This window comes from Homo sapiens, chromosome 1 (genome assembly GCF_000001405.40).
Source record: "Homo sapiens chromosome 1, GRCh38.p14 Primary Assembly".
In the NCBI taxonomy this organism is placed as follows: Eukaryota; Metazoa; Chordata; class Mammalia; order Primates; family Hominidae; genus Homo; species Homo sapiens.
In genome coordinates, this window is record NC_000001.11 from 167,632,501 (window position 1) to 167,650,991 (window position 18,491).

General features: G+C 46.4%; 1 protein-coding gene across 4 annotated transcripts in view, besides 3 other annotated features; it reads left to right on the plus strand.

Annotated features, from left to right (window-relative positions):
• Positions 1-18,491, plus strand: part of RCSD1 (RCSD domain containing 1) — a 78,465-nt gene that overhangs the window by 2,269 nt on the left and 57,705 nt on the right. Inside the window, exons 2-3 of one of the 4 annotated variants that reach the window (NR_136519.2) lie at positions 8,071-8,212; positions 8,891-10,738. The exons of the other annotated variants lie outside the window; for them this stretch is intronic. The gene's annotated coding sequence lies outside the window, so the exon portion shown is untranslated. Of the gene's footprint in view, positions 1-8,070; positions 8,213-8,890; positions 10,739-18,491 lie in introns of those variants that run through there. 4 annotated transcript variants of the gene reach the window in all.
• Positions 2,406-2,929: an enhancer, noted in NCBI's record as "H3K4me1 hESC enhancer chr1:167604143-167604666 (GRCh37/hg19 assembly coordinates)". NCBI's record gives its function as "activates a minimal SCP1, AML or CMV promoter by ChIP-STARR-seq in primed H9 embryonic stem cells {active_cell/tissue: H9 hESC(primed)}" and the evidence as "EXISTENCE:reporter gene assay evidence [ECO:0000049][PMID:30033119]".
• Positions 2,930-3,452: an enhancer, noted in NCBI's record as "H3K4me1 hESC enhancer chr1:167604667-167605189 (GRCh37/hg19 assembly coordinates)". NCBI's record gives its function as "activates a minimal SCP1, AML or CMV promoter by ChIP-STARR-seq in primed H9 embryonic stem cells {active_cell/tissue: H9 hESC(primed)}" and the evidence as "EXISTENCE:reporter gene assay evidence [ECO:0000049][PMID:30033119]".
• Positions 4,819-4,898: an enhancer, noted in NCBI's record as "active region_2047". NCBI's record gives its function as "activates an Ori minimal core promoter by ATAC-STARR-seq in GM12878 lymphoblastoid cells {active_cell/tissue: GM12878}" and the evidence as "EXISTENCE:reporter gene assay evidence [ECO:0000049][PMID:35858748]".

The window sequence follows — 18,491 nt, forward strand, 5'->3', positions numbered from 1 at the left end:
CTTCCTGTGTGGCTTGGGGGGTGGAGGGGATTGCAGTAAAAGAGAAGGCCCTCCCTTATTGAGATGTGTAGTAACTTATGCAGGATTCCACCAAGATACCAAAATCACTCCCGTGCTAGGGTTTGGGAGGGACGCAGGGAGGGAATAGCTCAGCCAGCCAGAAGCCTGACAAATCACCCTGCGTCTCACATCCAGTAGGTCACTAAGCCTAGTCCATCAATTTGCTGGTTGGACAGTGGCTGCTTTTGAAGTTTCTTTGTCCAAATGCCTGGAAAACAAAAAACAACAAAAATGAAACAAACAAACAAAAAAACAACATGCAACTGCTAGTGAAGAAAGTAAAGAGGAAATCTAGGGGCCAGGGAAGTGACCATTCTTAGCCAGGAAGTAAACTTTTCATGGTGAAGCATGATATGCAGGAGTTGGATTTGGGGGTTTCTGAAAATCTCAGAGTAAAACCCTCTTTTGAGAGGTGAAACTCAGTTTTGGGACATGAAAGGGCTACTGTATCTGGAAAGAAATTAAGTTATATTACTTCTCAGTACTAGGAATCCAAACCAGACCAAAGAGGGTTACTCAATATTCATTCTCTAAAGCTCACGTATTATTGGAAGTCTTTGAGAGATCTTTTTTTAAAGTCACTGTTACCATTATCAACAACATCAATCTTCATCCCTCATAAAGCCCTGTGGAATAAACAAAGTATAGATGCCATCTGATCCCTGCCTTTTAAAAGCTCACAACCCAATAAAGGGACTATATCCTGTCACATATATAATCTTCAAATGCATAAATGCCAGTTGAATACTGCTGCAGATCATGAGTTCTGCAGGAGTTCAGACTAGATTAGGTTCAGAAGAAGCCTTGGAAGAAAGATGTGGGTAAGGTGGAGAAGGTATAAGGGATGGGCACAGGGAGAACATGCCAGCTTTGTCCAGCTGGCTGGGAAGGAAGGTAGGAAAGCAGTAACAGAAAAAAATGAAAGTAATAAGATAAATCCAAGGTCACTGAGTATAGTAGATGCCCAGCTAAGTGGGTGAGTGGGAGCTGAAATCCAAGTCACTTGGAGGAAAAGGTTACTTTTTGTTCATACAAAATCTCCTTGCCTAGTTGAGCCTCAAACGGGTGGCTTTTTCTAATTCATGCAGAGGCCATCTGCAACTCTTGAAGGCCAGAGTTGTATGGCCCTGGATTCTGCTCCATGGACAGTAGGAAACTCTGAGAGGTGTTGAGGCAGCTGGCAGCAGTGATGTAGCCGGGATGATACAGCAAAAATGCCACTTCATGGAGTGAGCAAGGGAACCAGGTGAGAAAGCATCTTTTCCAGTACAGGTATATTCTGACTTCAGGATACAATAAGAATGGAGAAGATGGAAAAGAGTAAAGACCATGCGCTGGAAGGGAAGTCAGAAATCACCAAGCTGCCCAGAAGAGTGAAGTTCTCTATGGTGCCAGGGAAAATGGCAGTACCAACTTTTACAGCTCCATACAAAGCCTTTTGCAGGCAGATTTTCTCATTGGTCTTTGAGTCTCCAGAATGAGCACGGTGCCTGGCATATAGTCATATAATTTCTCAATAAAAGTTTGCTTGATAAATGATTAGCATAAATAGGGAACTCCTTCCCCTCTCGGTCTGTAGCTCAAACGTCTCCACCTCTGGAAGGCTTCTGTGAAGCCCCCAGACTCTACAGCACTCTCAGAGCACTTTGTTCAAGCCACTATTAGAACACTAGGCAGAACTGGAACTGTCAGCCTCCCTAACTGTCACCCCGGAAGGCTCCTTGAGGGCAGGGGCCATGTCTTATATATTTAGAGCCTAATGGGCACCAAGAAAGGCTTGTTGCATGAGCAAATATTGAAGAGGGAAGGAAGATCAGGGTTTTTTTTTTTAACAAGCAGTGTTTAGATATGTTGGTTTTGATTGTTCTAAGCAGAATGTCCACCACTCCCTAAGAAATACAAACCTGTTATGATACAAATGTGATTCTCCTCTAGAAGAGATAATAGGTAATGCTATTGTGGATAGGAACCCAGAGGACAGAGGTGTGTAAAGAAGGAGCTGGAGGCGTATGATGTCACATTTAAGTTAATACTGTTAGTCACTTAAATATAAATTGTGTGCACTGCCAATAGCCTGAGGGCACTTGAAAAAAAGTATAATTTTCGCTGACTAAATCCTTTGTTTGTTCAACTAAATTGTAGGCACATCATGGCACTGAAAAAAAGTCATAAATTTCTAACTTAGGTGGAGACAATAAATGAATCCTTTTCTCTGGGGTAACTGCAAATCATTCCCAGATATTATTTGTCATTCATGGACCTACTCAGTATTTATTGGGCCCTTATTACATACCAGATCTTGTATTTTAAATGTTACTTAAAAATTATGGAGCTCTCATGTCTTTACATTCTCACAGACTGTCAGTATTACTATGATGAGAGTGTGTGTGTGTGTGTGTGTGTGTGTGTGTACATATTGGTGTATATAATGTGTTTGTTTTGTGACCTACTTTTTCATCCATATCTTTTTACTTCAGTAAACATTTTCTACCACATTTTTTAAAATTATGGGACTAGGAGATAGAAGAGAAACATGTAACGAATCCAAATCTTAAAAAGATTATTTTGATATTTCACCGTGAAACACTAGGAGAAACACCCACAGCCTCGCTGTTTTTTGACCCACCCACCCTCTCACTGAGCCATATGTTGGCTGCTGGTTGGAGCTGATGGGCCGTAATTAGGAATTGCACAGCCTCTGAAGCTAGAGTTTGGCTCGGTGGACTTGTGGCATGCCCAAATACCCCACATTCCTCTCTGGCTCCCGCGTGTTCTGTGGGACCCTCACCCTCACACTGGCCCCCACTCAGCAGACATCTTCCATTTGTTGGACTGCGACGACAGGGGGAATTTGGGGAGTGAGACTCTAAGGGCCCAGCCCAGGCCCTATCACAGGAGGGGGTGAATGTGCATTCCTGGAAAGGAGTCGGGTTTCAGAGCCTGATCCGCAGCGTGGCTCCTCACAGCACTGCGAGCCAGAGCTTGGCGCGCGCGGTTCCGTGGGAAATCTGAACACTGGCGGCTCAGCAGCCCGGTAATCTTATCAGGGCCGCAAGAGAAAGCATTTTGGTTCCAGAGAAATCTGAAGGCAGCTCCGCTTTTCTCCAGTAATAATATTTAAGTCTGTGGAGCCAGCCTGACCAACCCTATTCAACTCATTAGAATCTAAAAATCTCAGAGCTCTGGGTGAAATAAAACAATCTTTAACTGCCCTCTGCCATATGGTAAAGGGATAAACCAACTCACCAAGAGGTATCTTGAGGATTTAGGCACTATTGGACTTTTGGAAAGCCAACAGCTTGCAATTTTTCTCTTACCTGGGGAGTAGTTCAACCCAAGCCTTCAGAAGTAAGACAGAAGGATGGTTCTTGTAGCAGCAAAGTTTCAGTAATGCTTCGGACACAGGATGAACACTGAGTTGCCACTATCAACAGGATTGCCCTAGGAATCTCCTGAAGCTCATCACCAGAGCCAGACCCGAATGAACACTGTCCTGGTTCTTTGGTCTTCTGGGCAGTCAGCCTCCCGTTTTTTTCCTTTGGAGCTTCCTGAATACCCATCTCCTGGGAATTGTGGAAACAGCTGGCTAAGCCCATGAGGCTCACCCTGTAGAGCCATTTATTTGAATGGATCAAATCCTATTCCATGGGAAGGGCCTCCAGCCAGTGCAATTCCAAATCCCAATGAGTCCCTAAGAGAGGTGCAGGGCCCTTACCTCTGTAAGAGACCCCTCTGAGATGCCATTAGAGCCTATCCTTAATGAATAGTATTAGAAGCCTCCAAGCTAGAGCAGTCAGGTGGGGGCACTGAGAAATTCTGGACATTGGAACAGACATTATCTCCAGCCAAAAATTTGAGTCAGCATCATAGATGTCTCCAGCCCTTTGTTTTGAACCTGTTTGTACCATGTCAGGGCCAACCTCCTGGCCTCGAGGTAGCAATCACTACTCTTTCCCAGGCTGAATCTTTTATAATTAATCATTAATGATTCACGGCATGCCATGCACTAGCTTCTTTTTGTTTTTTTTTGTTTGTTTGTTTGTTTTTAGACGGAGTTTTGCTCTTGTTGCCCAGGCTAGAGTACAATGGCACTATCTCAGCTCACTGCAACCTCCTCCCGGGTTCAGGCAATTCTCCTGCCTCAGCCTCCCAAGTAGCTGGGATTACAGGCATGCACCACCACACTCGGCTAATTTTGTGTTTTTAGTAGAGATGAGGTTTCACCATGTTGGTCAGGCTGGTCTTGAACTCCTGACCTCAGGTAATCCACCCACCTCAGCCTCCCAAAGTGCTGGGATTACAGGCCACCACGCCTGGCCCATGCACTAGGTTTTTAGTTAGATTCAGTAAGCACACACTGAGCCCTTACTGCCTGCCAGGCACTGCGGATCTAAAGGGGTACGTATCTACCAGCTTGCTGACCCTTGAAGAACTTGCAGTCTAAGAGGGGAGACAAACACCTAAACAGATTATTGCAGAGCAGGGATGAGAGCTTACACCCACAGAGGAGGAGCATCAGCCTGGGGCTCAGGGAGGGCTTCCTGCTAAAAATAATTTCTGAGTTGAATCTTGAGGGGTGAGTAAGAGTTAACCAAGGGCAGAAAATTGGGAAGAGCATTCCAATCAGAAAGAGTGACAAGAGCAAAGCTACTGGTGCAAGAAACAGCACGGTGTGCATGGGAAATAATAAGTAGTTCATTCCTGGAGGATAAAGCAAGATAAAGATATTTGAGGACTAGATGGGGAGTACAGGAAATGTAAGTTGCAGTTCCTGCCCTAAAAGGAACTCATTCTATTTGGGGAAACAAGATATACCCAAATGACATGACATAAAAACATGCAAGATAGAATCTTGATAAGTTCTAAGGTATGTGGGCGTTCAAAAGCTCCTCTAATACAAGGTAGAGAAAACTAGCTTCCTGTGCTGGGGATTCCTCCACAAGTGCTGCTCTTCCCCCACCTCCTGGCAGCCCTAGGGTGCAGAACACACAGGAGACCTCAATCTAATGGCAGCACATGCCTGCCTGGGGCCTGCCCCAAAGGCTCCTGCTAGAGAAGTTGATTTGAAATAGGCTCCAGGTCCCGAGGGAATGCCTTTGTTCAAGCTCACCAAAAAGCCACCCCAAGTCCTCCTACCTTCTCTGACAGAAAGAGGGCTCTAGGAATAGACCACACACACACACACACACACACACACACACACACCCCTTCTGTTCCCACTCACACTTCCACCTGCAGCCCCGCTCATTCCTTCCACTATGGCCACACTTCCTGTACACTCCCTGAAAAGTCAGCGTTTCTCCTGCTTGCCCAGAGGCAGACAAGGGATGCACCAGGGTGGACTGTAGAGCAGCAGCCAACCACATGCATCAGCCCAAACCCAGTAAGCAGTGCCGCTGGGCCTTGTGGCTGCTATTGCACAATCCAGCACCCACGCCACAGGTCACAGAGAATTTGCATCTCACAATGTGCCGCAGCAGGCTTTGGGCCTCCTCTGAGCCTCCCCGCTAGACCCTCCACCTTCAATAGTTCATTCCCAATGCGTGAGCTAAATGTACGCTTTTCCCACCCTGCTGGGCTGCCCACCACGACCTCCATCTCTGAAGCACATTCCCAGGATTCAGGTTCCTGGCTTGTCATCCTTTACAGATATGTTTTGATGAATAATGGGAAATTCATTTCTGAGCAGCCACACCGATGTCAGTGTGGGAGAGACCTAAAGCTTGTTGTCATGGTAATTACTACCACTTGTTGAATGCCTACTATATATAGATGCTGTGCACAGATTTATTTCTTTTAATCTTCATAAAGTCATATTATGTCTTCTAGGAAAGGATGCTGAGGCTTTGAGATGCTTAAATGATGTGCCCAGGGTCTAGAAGGTAATTACCAACCTTCTAACATTTGAACCTACCCTATCCGGTGGGATCCTGTCCCTGTTCTTCCTCTTGCTCTGGAGAAACTCTGGCTTCCCCCACAGCACCTGTGTGGGCTCTCGGGGAGACAACAGGCTCCTCAGCCTGGCCAGTCTTCCTCCAGCTCAGGCCAGGCTGTGGTGGAGGCCAGCCAGCTCAAGGCTTGGTGCTTGTAAGGCCTGGCACAGGTTTACTCCGAGCCCTCCTCTGCACAGCTAAAAGACTTCTGAAAGGCCCCAGTTGTGTCTCTGGGTGAAACTGGTGCCCACACCTAAAGCAAAACAGGAAGACTTTTCCAAATTCATTTTTAGGGCTTTGGAGTTTTGAGAGCAAGAAAGAACCATAGCAATTTCTTCCATCCCCTTCATTTTAAAGATGACGAAATTGAACATAAGCAATTTACCAATGGTCGTACTTAAAGTCAGTTAGTAGCCAAGTCAAGAGTTAAAACCAAGGTCCTGGTCGGGGGCGGTGGCTTATGCCTGTAATCCCAGCTCTTTGGGAGGGCAAGGAGGGCGGATCACGAGGTCAGGAGATTGAGACCATCCTGGCTAACACGATAAAACCCCATCTCTACTAAAAATACAAAAAATTAGCCAGGCATGGTGGCAGGCACCTGTAGTCCCAGCTACTTGGGAGGCTGAGGCAGGAGAATGGCGTGAACCCGGGAAGCGGAGGTTGCAGTGAGCAGAGATCACGCCACTGCACTCCAGCCTGGGTGACACAGGGAGACTCCGTCTCAAAACAAACAAACAAACAAAAAGCAAAAACAAAAACAAACAAACAAAAAGGTCCTCTGACTCCCAGCACACTAGGACGCCTTTGACCCGCATGTTCAAATGAACTCATATATAATGACTTTATTGATTTTGCATTTTTGTGTATTGTCTTCTTGGCTCTCTGAAGTCCTCCACACAGTGGTGCTCAGCTCTCTAGGTCTTCCCTAGCAAGCACTACTATCTGTGGGGATAGGGTGGGTAGGGAGAAGAACCATTTTCATTCTCATTGTTTTTTTTTTCTTTGTTTGTTTGTTTTGAGGTGGAGTCTTGCTCTGTCTCCCAGGCTGGAGCGCAATGGTGCAATCTCGGCTCACTGCAACCTCCACCTCCCTGGTTCAAACGATTCTCCTGCCTCAGCCTCCCAAGTAGCTGGTATTACAGGCGCCTGCCACTGTGCTCAGCTAATTTTTGTATTTTTTAATAGAGACGGGGTTTCACCATGTTGGCCAGGCTGGTCTTGAACTCCTGACCTCAGGTGATCCACCTGCCTTGGCCTCCCAAAGTGCTGGGATTACAGGCATGAGCCATGATGCCCGGCCCATTCTCATTGTTTTAACAAATGCCAAGAGACCCAGAGCTGAGGCTAGGAGGGCCCAGCTACCCTAGCTGCAGCGCCACGCCTTGTTCTACTAGGCTTACTTTCTCCGATGCCCTCAAGGGGTCTTTCTGGGGGAGCCCCTTGGCCCCTGTTGTCCAGTCATGCCTGAATCCCCTCACAAAGGCCTGAATTTAAGTACTGGAGAGGAGAAGAACAAGGATGATTCCAAATGCTTGTTTTCCTTGGGGAAACAAATGGGAGACTCAAAGAGATGCCTGGCACTCCAGGCTGCTATACAGTGCGGAAGTGCTGCCCAGGTGGAGAATCTGATGCCAGTGGAGTTGGCAGGTGTATGAGTTTGCGAGGGCTGCTGCCGTAACAGATTACCACAAACTGGGTGGCTCAAAACAACAGAAACGTCTCCTTTCATGGTTCTGGAGGCCGGATGTCTAAAAGCAGAGTGTCAGCAGGACCTCATTCCCCACTAAGGCTCGAGGGGCGGCTCCATTCCATGTTTCTTTTGGCTCCTGGTGGTTGCCAGCTTCCTTGACTTGTGGCCACATCACTCCAGTCTGCCTCATCTTTGCCACACCTTCTCCTCTGTGTGTCTCTTATAAGGACCTGTGTCATTGGATCAGGACCTACGTTGATAATCCAGGATGATCTCTTCATCTCAAAATTGGTAACTACCTCTGCTAAGACTGTTTTTGCACATAAGGTAACATTCACAGGTTCCAGGGATTAGGAAGTGAGCATATCTTTTTTTTTCCTCCTCAAGACAGGGTCTTGCTCTGTTGCCCAGGCTGGAATGCAGTGGCACAATCATGGCTCACTGCAGCCTCAACCTTCCAGGGCTTAAGTGATCCTCTCACCTCATCCTCCTGAGTAGCTGGACTATAGGCGTGCACCACCACACCCAGGTAATGTTTGTATTTTTAGTAGAGACGAGGTCTCACTATGTTGCCCAGACTGGTCTTGAACTCTTGGGCTCAAGTGATCCTCCCACCACAGCCTCCTGAAGCGCTGGGATTACAGGCATTAAACACTGTGCCTGTCTAGGAAGTTATCATAACTTTTAGGGGGTCACCATTCACCCCACTATCGCAGTCAACCTGCTATCCATATAAAGGTAAAGAACTTGGGGATTGGAGGAGTGAATCCTGGGTTATTGTTAAGCTATATTATAACCACCCCCCGAGCCCCCACTAGTGCCTTGGGTGCAAATTACCAAGGAATATTTATTGACACCTGTTGTGTGACTAATTTCCTGCCTCTTAGGTAGCCCGTATATACAGCTGTGTCATCCATACCCCTAGTGCCTGGGTCTCAGCTATAATTCTCTGTTCAGAGAGCTGCAGTTGGGAGGGGAAGTCTGTCTCCAGGCCGCTATGGAGCATTTCCATGAAGCCATGAGGATCACCCCCAACTCATCTGGTCACTTTTCAGGGAGATAACTATGGTGTAAGCAGGCTGGGAAGAGCCACTCGAGATTATCTAGGATCACCACCACCATTGTAAAGGATCATGCCTAGCAAGATTATAAAATCCTATTCTTAAATATCTTATTCTTTCATTAATCCCTTCATTCATTTATTTAGAGATGCACCAAGACGCTACCAAATGCAAATTAATAAGACCAATCCTGGCTGGGTGCAATGGCTCACTCCTGTAATCTCAGCACTTTGGGAGGCCGAGGCAGGTGGATCACAGAAGGTCGGGAGTTTGAGACCACCCTGACCAACATGAAGAAACCCCGTCTCTACTAAAAATACAAAATTAGCCGGGCATGGTGGTGCATGCCTGTAATCCCAGATACTCAGGAGGCTGAGGCAGGAGAATCGCTTGAACCTGGGAGGTGAAGTTTGCGGTGAGCCGAGATCGCGCCATTGCACTCCAGCCTGGTCAACAAGAGTGAAACTCTGTCTCAAAAAAATAAGAATAAGACACAATCCTTGCCCTCAAGATTCATACAGTCTGAAGGTAAAGAGGGGACATAAATGAAAGAAGTGATTACAAAACAGTGTGATTGGTTCTGAAAAGGCAGTGAGTAAACAGTCCTGTTGCATAAATAACAGGACAGGCTAGTGTTGCTGTAACCATGCCACAATCTTAGTGGCTGAAAACAACAAAGGTTTACTTTTCACCCCTGCTGCAAGTCCATTGAGGGTTGGCTGGGGGCTCTGCTCTGGCTCATTTCTTGTCCTCCCTCTGAGACCTAAGCTGTGGGAGCAGCTACCCCTTTGCTTGTTGTCATGGCAGAAGGAAGGAAAGTTCTGGAAGACTCACGCTGGCCATTAAATGCTCTCTTTTGGAAGGTTCCTAACTATCCACATGGCTCCAATTAACCATAGGGGCAGGAAGTACCATCCTCTCATGGCCTCCAAATGATGAGAGCTAGAAGTACTTCACAAACATTGTTAGTGGCCTGATAGAGTCTTAGAAGCCTTCACAAAGCAGACGATCTTTGAGCTGTGTCTGGAAGTAAGACTGTGTCTTTCAGGCTGACAAGAGGGGGAAAGCCGAGGGAGAAAGTGTTTATCTGCACCACTCAGGGCTCATTCGCTTGAGTCTTACACGGCTTTTGTGGTCGGAGATGTTCTTGCAGATTGAAATGAAAACTGCTTCATAAGCACAAATAATGTTTTCAATGATGTCAGCTGTTCTTCATGCTTTGGGGGTGATTGAGAGAGGCAAGTAGGTTTGAACGAGAAGCTAGGGGTGCAGATATGCAGGAAAATATATCAGAGAAATATAAACATAAGCGTTAAGGGCATCTGTTTAGACTGTTTCTCAAGTTTCTTAGTCCTGGAACAGCCAATTCCATGGAGCATGCCACCAGGAGTTGCAACTTATAGCCTAGGTGGCTCTTGGGAGGTGAACGTCTTTGTGGCTATGTGAGCAGCATGGAATTGTCTACGCCTTTTGATTGGAATGCACTCCCCCTTGGTGAAAGGGAATCTATGTCTTTTTTCTACATGCAGTTATATAACACTTAGAATCACCATTCTTTCCCATAAGGCTTGTACATAAGCCCTACCTTTTGTCCCTAAGGAAGGAGTTGGTGAAAGTCGGCCTGTGAGTAACATTGGAATTAGGCAGTAGAATTTGAAGAAATGGTAGCAACAGACAGCCCTCTGCTCCCTTAAGGCTTTCTTTGCCTGATTATTGATTTTGTAGTAGATCAAGGGGGATGCCATGCAGAGAAAGACCATCAATCCTGGGTTTTAGGTTCAGGGTCAGTTACCAGCCTCAGGATCCCGGTCAGTTCCGTGCTCTGTAAAACCGATACCTGCTTTACCTACCTTCCAAGGTTATTTTGAAAAGGAAGTAAGATTATGCATGTAATAAATATCTTATGAAAGTACCTTGAAGCGTTCAATTATTTCACAAATGCATGGTGGTGGTGTTATTAGTATTTATTAAACTGATATTGTGAAAAATTGTAACAACCCTGAGCGTGTCTTCTGTAAGAAAGCACTGGCGCTCTCTGTGCCTAGTGGAAGGTGGCAGAAGGGAAGGCAAAGAGGGTGACATTGGTGCACATGAGCAAAGTGAACCTTTCCAATATAGGACAAAGAGGCTTTTTATAGCATAAAGGAGGTTTTAAGCTGTGCAACAGTAATAGGAAAAATACTTTACACTTCTACCACACTTTATTGTCAAAGTACTTTCCCGTATCTGTTCAGCTAAACTGTAAGCTCTGCAAATCCCCATCATAGGTTCTAACATCCAATGATGAGCATAATGTATATTCAACACATCCTGTGAGTAGATGCAGGAATGCAGGCTTCATATGCCTCATGGGGAGGCAGTGCAATGGCTTAAGGGCTAAGAGCACACACAGAGAGCCATATGGCTGGGTTTGAGTTTGACTTTGCCATTTACTAGCTTGTGACCTCTCCATGGCTTGGTTTTTCCATTTGTAAAATGGAAATAATGATAACACCTACCTGCTAGGGTTGTTGTGAGGTGTAAATGAGTCGGTGGTTGTGTAAAGTGCTTAGTGCGTTGCACATATTAGGTGTGATGTAATTGTTTATTGATTAAGGAAAGAGGCTTTTATAATCATTTAGAAGAGAACAGCCTCCTGCGCTTTTGGTGCAGCTCTGACTGGGACACGGGATGGACAAGAGGACATCTGAAGTTCTCCTCCAGCCTGAGAGTTTGACAGAGGGGTGGTTATTGCATCCTGCCTGCAAAACTGCCGGTAAATCTCTCTGGGCTTCTGTAGGAGGCTGGGTCTTGGGGGCAATGCTGGAACAGTATCCCACATAAATCCATACTAGAACCTGGGAGACTAGGGGAGGCTTGGGCATAGAATAGCAAATCCAAGTGTCAGGCTCATGGGCAGCCAAAACCTGCAAGAAAAAGGGAGTCAGTCTCCTTGGCTCAAGAAATATGTTTTGGCTGGGCACGGTGGCTCACGTCTGTAATTTCAGCACTTTGGGAGGCCGAGGCAGGCCGATCACCTGAGATCAGGAGTTTGAGACCAGCCTGACCAACATGGAGAAACCCTTTCTCTACTGAAAATACAAAATTAGCTGGGTGTGGTGGTGTGCGCCTATAATCCCACCTACTCAGGAGGCTGAGACAGGAGAATTGCTTGAACCCAGGAGGCAGAAGTTGCAGTAAGCCAAGATCGCACCATTGCACTCCAGCCTGGGCAACAAGAGTGAAACTCTGTCTCAAAAAATAAATACATACATACATACATACATACATACATACATACATACATACATACATTTCAAAGAAAGGGAGGGAAGGAGAGCAGATGGCAAGTGTATTTTTTGAGTTCACCCAGGTAGATCAATGAAACGAGGAGGTAGGAAATGGGAAGGAGAGCAGTCTGGAGTAGAGCTCCCCTTCCACTTCCTCCCCCCACATACCTGGGTTGCCTGTACCCTGACAATTCCTTACCTTTCACACCTCTGTGGGGAGGCCCCTGCCTAGGGAGCTGAACAGGGTGGGATTCGGAGACTGCTAAAACAGCTGCGGGGATTGGACAGTAAGAGGCTAAGCATTCAGACCAGAGCCCCTCTCCCTGTCTAAGCTGACATCAGTCCTGATCTTTCCAACTGAGTGCTTTCCTATGCCAATAAGGGTATTCTGATTTCTCACGTGGTCACATTACTTGTATTACAAAGGATTTTTTGACAAGATGTATTCAGTGCAGGTTGAACTACCTTGCCCAAAGTATTTTGATTAAGGACCCCAGGTCTTTCCTGAAGAAAGTCTCCAGTGGCAGGCCACGGGGCTCTATCCTTGGCCCTGATTATTAAACATTTTTGTTAATGACTTGGATGAAAAATAGAAAGAATCCAGATGACCCACAGCTGGGATAGTTAATATGCTACGTGACATATTCAAGTTCAAAATGATTTATATAGGATGGGATGCTGGGCCAAAACCAACATAATAAAATTAAACAGGGATGAATGTAAAATCCTCTGCTTAACTTTAGGAAAATTTCATGCACTAGCATAGGACAGACCTGGCTTGGAAATACGCATGCATTTGTTCCACAAATATTTATTGGGCCTACTGTATGACAGATGCTGTCTGGATTCCTGGAGGGAGTAAAATATAAAGACAGTATCTCAATAAGCTGGAGGTTTAGTGGTGGTGGTGCCAAGAGATAAGATATGTCCCCAGATAAAGCAGGACACAGGATATGCTAAAGTGTTATATAAGCAACAAGACCACGAGGCTGGGGAATTTCACAGAGAAAGAACATTCTCAACTTATTCAACTGAAGAAGGCTTATTGGGAGAGGGTGACATCAGAGTGGCCACCAAAAACTAGGAAGAATTTTTTTTAAACAGATGGTAATAATGAAGGGGCAAAGAAGGGGATGGTGGTGAGAAGCTAGTGTGATGAGAAGAAATGAAGGATGCCCACGGGGAACTGTGAGTGCCCTAAGCGACTAGAGTGGAAGACCTCTTAACCCACATGTGTGGGTGTGGGTGCACATGTGTGTGCACAGCAGATGGGGAGAGGGTGGGTAAACACTGTTGGAAGGACTGGATGCAGTGAGGTGGTGCACACGTTAGGGAGACAGCACTGATGCTGCCTGCTTCCCTCAGTCTGTCATGAGGGTCCTTGCAGAGTGGGGCTCACGGGATGGAAGGGATGGAAGGAGCACTGGAGGGCCATTAATTAATCTAGAAGCCGAAATACCAGTTGAGAGGCCAAGGCACCGGTGAGAGGTGGCCTTGAGAATGGAAAGGCAATGAAGCTGCGAAACCAACTGCGGGAAGAATCCACAGTGCAGATTTGGTATTTGGTTGGAGACTGTCACAGGGGCAGAGTTAGAGAGAAAGTGATCAGAATGACTGTGTTTTCCATCTAGGAGCATGGAGAATTTTACTCGTTGGGGGTGCGGAAGAGGCTGAGTTTTGGTTGAGGCATTGACAGGACACCCTGTTGGAAATTCAGAAGTGGAGTTTGGAGGGCTTTGGGCCAAGGCGCAGCTGGGTGGTCATTCGCGCAGCAGTGGTTCACCACAGGCCTGGGTGGTGAGCAGCGGCTATAAGGAGAGAAGCAGGCCAAAGACAGCTCGGGACAGCCCTCACATTTGAGGAATGCCAGGAAGACTAAGGACAGTGAAAGAGGGCTTGGGAGTTATAGCCGACCATAAGCTAACACTTTTCTAAAAAAAAAAAAAAAAAAAAGAAGTAGAAAGACTCAATTTTGTGTGAGACTTAGAGTTTTTTTTCTTTTTCTTTTTCTTTTTCTTTTTATATTACTTTAAGTTCCGGGATACATGCGTGCAGGTTTGTTACATAGATATACATGTGCCATGGTGGTTTGCTGCATCTATCAACCCATCATCTAGGTTTTAAGCCCCACATGCATTAGCTATTGTCCTGATGCTCGAGTTTCTAATCCTGCCTAGGCGTCATCCCCAGGACTCTCCTTTGTGTGACCCCCTCCTTTCCAGAGCTCTTTCTCAAGCTCAGGGAGTAGATGCCTCAAGAGAAATAGGATCCTCGGAACTTCTGGGGCATCGCCCAAAACCTGGGGTAGTGTTAGCCAGGTAGAGAAGCAGGTAGAGGCCACTGCGGTGGCTCATGCCTGTAATCCCAGCACTTTGGGAGGACAAGGAGGGTGGATCACCTGAGGCCAGGAGTTCAAGGCCAGCCTGACCAACATGGTGAAACCCCATCTCTACTAAAAATACAAAAGTTAGCCTGGCATGGTGGTGCATGCCTGTAATCCCAGCTACTTGGGAGGCTGTGGCAGGAGAATCGCTTGAACCTGGGAGGCAGAGGTTGCAGTGAGCCGAGATCATACCATTGCATTCCAGCCTGGGCAAAAAGAGTGAAACTCCATCTCAAAAAAAAAGAGAGAGAGAAGGGGGTAGAGGCAACAGAATTACTTGTCCATTAGGCACATGTCTTTAAGTGCTTTTAGTGTTAATCAGGCTGCAGGTTCCACAGCAAGCAATTTATAACCCACAGCCATGCATTGGGAAGGCCTGCATGAGGCATGTTCTTATTTTTAAAACAAGGGGCCAAGCACAGTGGCTCACACCTGTAATCTCAGCACTTTGAAGGCTGAGGCAGGGTGGACTACTTGAGCCCAGGAGTTCAAGATCAGCCCGGGCAACATAGTGAGACCCCATCGCTACAAAAAAAAAAAAAATAGCAGTGCATGGTGGTCTACCTGTAGTCCCAGTTATTCAGGAGGCTAAGGCAGGAGAATTGCTTGAGCCTAGAAGTTCAAGACCAGCCTGGGCAACATAGTGAGACCTCATCTCTAAAATAACTAACTAAATTAATTAAATAAATAAAATAAAAGCAGTGCATGGTGGTGCACCTGTAGTCCCAGCTATTCAGGAGGCTGAGGCAGGAGGATTGCTTGAGCCTGGGAGATGGAGGCTGCAGTGAGCTGTGATCATACCACTGCACTCCAGCCTGGGTGACAGAGTAAGACCCTATATCAAAAATAAAACAAAACAACGATAAGACCACAACCAATAAAAATTCTTTCTAGAAAACCCTAGGACTGTTCAGGACATTTTCTCTAGTTTCTAGTCACTTTGTTTTAAAATACTAATTTGCTAAAATTAAGCTAATCTTAAATATTTTAAGATTTGAAATTCATCATCTTAACACAACTATTTTCTTTTTCTTTTTTTTGTTCCTTGAAATCCTCAATTATATCCCTTTTATTATTTTTTAAAGTTGGAATAAAAAGACAATCCTGTATAATATAACTACTTCGAATTTTCCACATCTTTATTAGTTTTAGCCAAATGCATAATTCTTACATAATTTTAATCAGTGTATATACAACTCTGTACTCTATCTTTTCTCTTAACATTATTTCCAGGTCAGTATTCTTGTTCCTCATAGTCATATTTTCATTGTAAATGTCTTCACGACACTCTGTTATACAAATATATCATAATTATTTAATCATTTTTCTATTTTGGAACACAGCATTTGCTTTTACTTTCTCCTTATTACAAATAACATAGCTATAAACAGTACATGTATCTTTTTCCTTCTTTTGAATTATTTCTCTGGAAGCAATTCCCAGGAGTGGAATTATTAGGTCAAAGGATATGAGTGTCTCTTGACAAGCATTGCCAAATCAGCCCTGGCCTTCCTTCCTTTTGCAAAGACTCACTGTATGTACCTGGTGTGTACAATTGCAGGCTCAGCGAGATGTGCCAGGTAGGAGACATGAGGTGAGAGCCCTCCACTAAGCCGGTTTAGCAAAGAGCCCTTTCCTCCCAGGGTCTTCCAGCAAGTCCTGTGGTTCCCCCTCCACCAGCAGGGAGTGGATAGGAGGGGAGCACAGGAAAGGGGTGTGGACCCCCTGGAAATGAAGCAATCATATGGTAGTTCCCGCTGGAGCAGCTGCAGATAGGGGGAAGTTACATACCAGTGATGGGGTGCGGGCAACAGTGAGCCCGGGGACACCAGGACACCAAGAATCTCACCCACCAGTCAGGGATGGAGGCAGAACACCAGAGGGTTTGGGCTGAACTCTAGAGAATGATGGGCTGGTCCTCTAGGAAATCCCTTGAAGTCCTGAGCAAGAGTGGCCTGAGTTTGGGAGGAGAAGCAATCAGTCACTCGCTTGCTTAATAAATATTTAATAAGTGCCCACTGTGTCAGATTCTGTGCTGGGAATTCTGGACACAAAAGGTAATAAAACTTGGATCCTGCCCTCAGGGAGGTTGCAGTCTGGTAAGACAGTCAGAATGATAACAAGTGATTGAAACAGTTTGGTTAAGTATTCTAAGAGATCTGTGCTCAGAACACAGATCTGAGTATGACCTAGGTATCTTGCCCAGAGTGGGGAGGGGCTGGGGGAAAGAAAGACTTCTTAAAGGCAGTGAAACCTGAGCTCAATCCAGGAGGACAAAGAGGGAATGGATAGTTGAAGGGTGAGGAGGAGGGTGTTCTAGCTGGAGGAAGTAGCGTGAAAGAGGACAGTGTGCAGGATCCAACCAGATTGAGTTGGTAAGCCAGGCAAGACCTCGAGAACCTCTTCAGGGCTTGATCCGGGAGGTGCCGGGATTTCTACACAGAAGGCGCTTGGGGCTACAGTCTAATTGCAAGGGGAGAGTCCAAGGGGCTAGCCTTGACACTGTTATTTGTATAACAAGCATACTTTTCGCCTAAAACGGAATATGTATTTGGTGTGGCTGATGATATTATGGGGTGTTACAGCTCTCAAAAACCACAGCTTGGCCTCACCACTTGTTTTATTCCCAGAGTGATGGGGGGGCAGAAAGTTACATAACCAGACTTGAATTTCAGGAAGTTGGCTCTGGCCGTGGTTCAAGGAATGGATTGGAGAGAGCATGGTATGAGGCCTTTAGGAGGCTGGTCATTCATATGGACTAAAGACCAGGAAAGCTGGGCTTCAGAAGGGACTGTGAGGGCAGAGAAAGAGAAAAGGAGTTTGAGAGGAGGATCCTTCCTCACAGGGACAAGAATTTTCTATCTAAGGCCTAGCTGACGACTAAGGGAGAGGACAGCATTGTTCCAAGGGACCTGTGTGTTAATGGGGATGCCTGGGTGTAGGCATAACATTTAAAGGACAGACAGACCAGGGCCTGGGTGTCTTGTGTCCATAATAATAAACAGCTCACCTGTGCCTCTGGGGCAGCTGTAAAGATGCACTGTGTGTGTCCATGTGTGTGCCAGAGGGGAACCAAGCAAGTGTTAACACGTTGCAGGAGGAAGCTAGGCAGAGTGGCCAACAGGAGTTCAAGGCTCTGGACCAAATCCCATCACTAAATTGCTGTGGGATCTTGAATCAGTGGCACAAGATTTGGGGGCCTCACCGGAATGATCATCTCATCCCTGCCTGGCTTATTGGGAGGATTAAATGAGATAATGAATTCAGAGTTAAGGATTTGGAAAGAATATAAAAGACTCCACAGATGCAAGGTGTTGTCTCCACTGTGTTTTGGAAAACACGGGGAAATGTCTGCAAACAGCTTGGTCCCTCAAAGAGAAGCAGGTGCTCTGGAGCCTGGATGTGTGTGTGTTGGGGTGGGGGCAGGGTCAAGCTGTGAGGCGTTCACCTCCCCTCTGGCCTCTGCTTCCTCCTCTTCTTGTGGCTTCCCTTTGAAGCTCTGAGCAGCTGTTACAGATGAGAGGCCAGGCTGGGCCAGGCCCAGACCACTCACTCAGAAGCAGAGGCTGTGTTTGAAGCCACCAGCCAGGGGGTAGGCAGGATTTCCTGACTCTCGAGTGTTTGGGTCCAGCTCTGGCCTGGTACCCCAGAGGCCTACCAGGAGGCCTGTGCTCTCTAACCAGAAGGACCGCCGCCCATCCCTTCAGCCAAGATCTCTGTTCCAGCCACAGCCAAAGCCAAAGTCCAGGAGCTGTAGGGACTGCCCTCTCTCTGGTTAAGCATTTTGAGTTTTAGAAACAAAAGCACCAATTAAGCACAAAGCAGGGAGTGGAGCCAATGGCTCTGCTCGTGTGAGGTTAGCAATGGAGTAGGGAGAGGGGTGAGCGGAGTGTGCGTGGTACGATGGGGTAAGGAGGGGATAAGGAGGGGGGCAGCCCCAGAAGCAGCTTCCCCGAGGCCAAGTTCAATGCCTTTATTAGTTCGGTAGCGCTGCTGTAACAAAGTGCCATGGACTGGATGGCTTAGACAGCAAAACTTTATTTCCTTGCAATTCGAGAGGCTAGAAATGTGAGACGGAGGTGTCAGCAGTGCTGG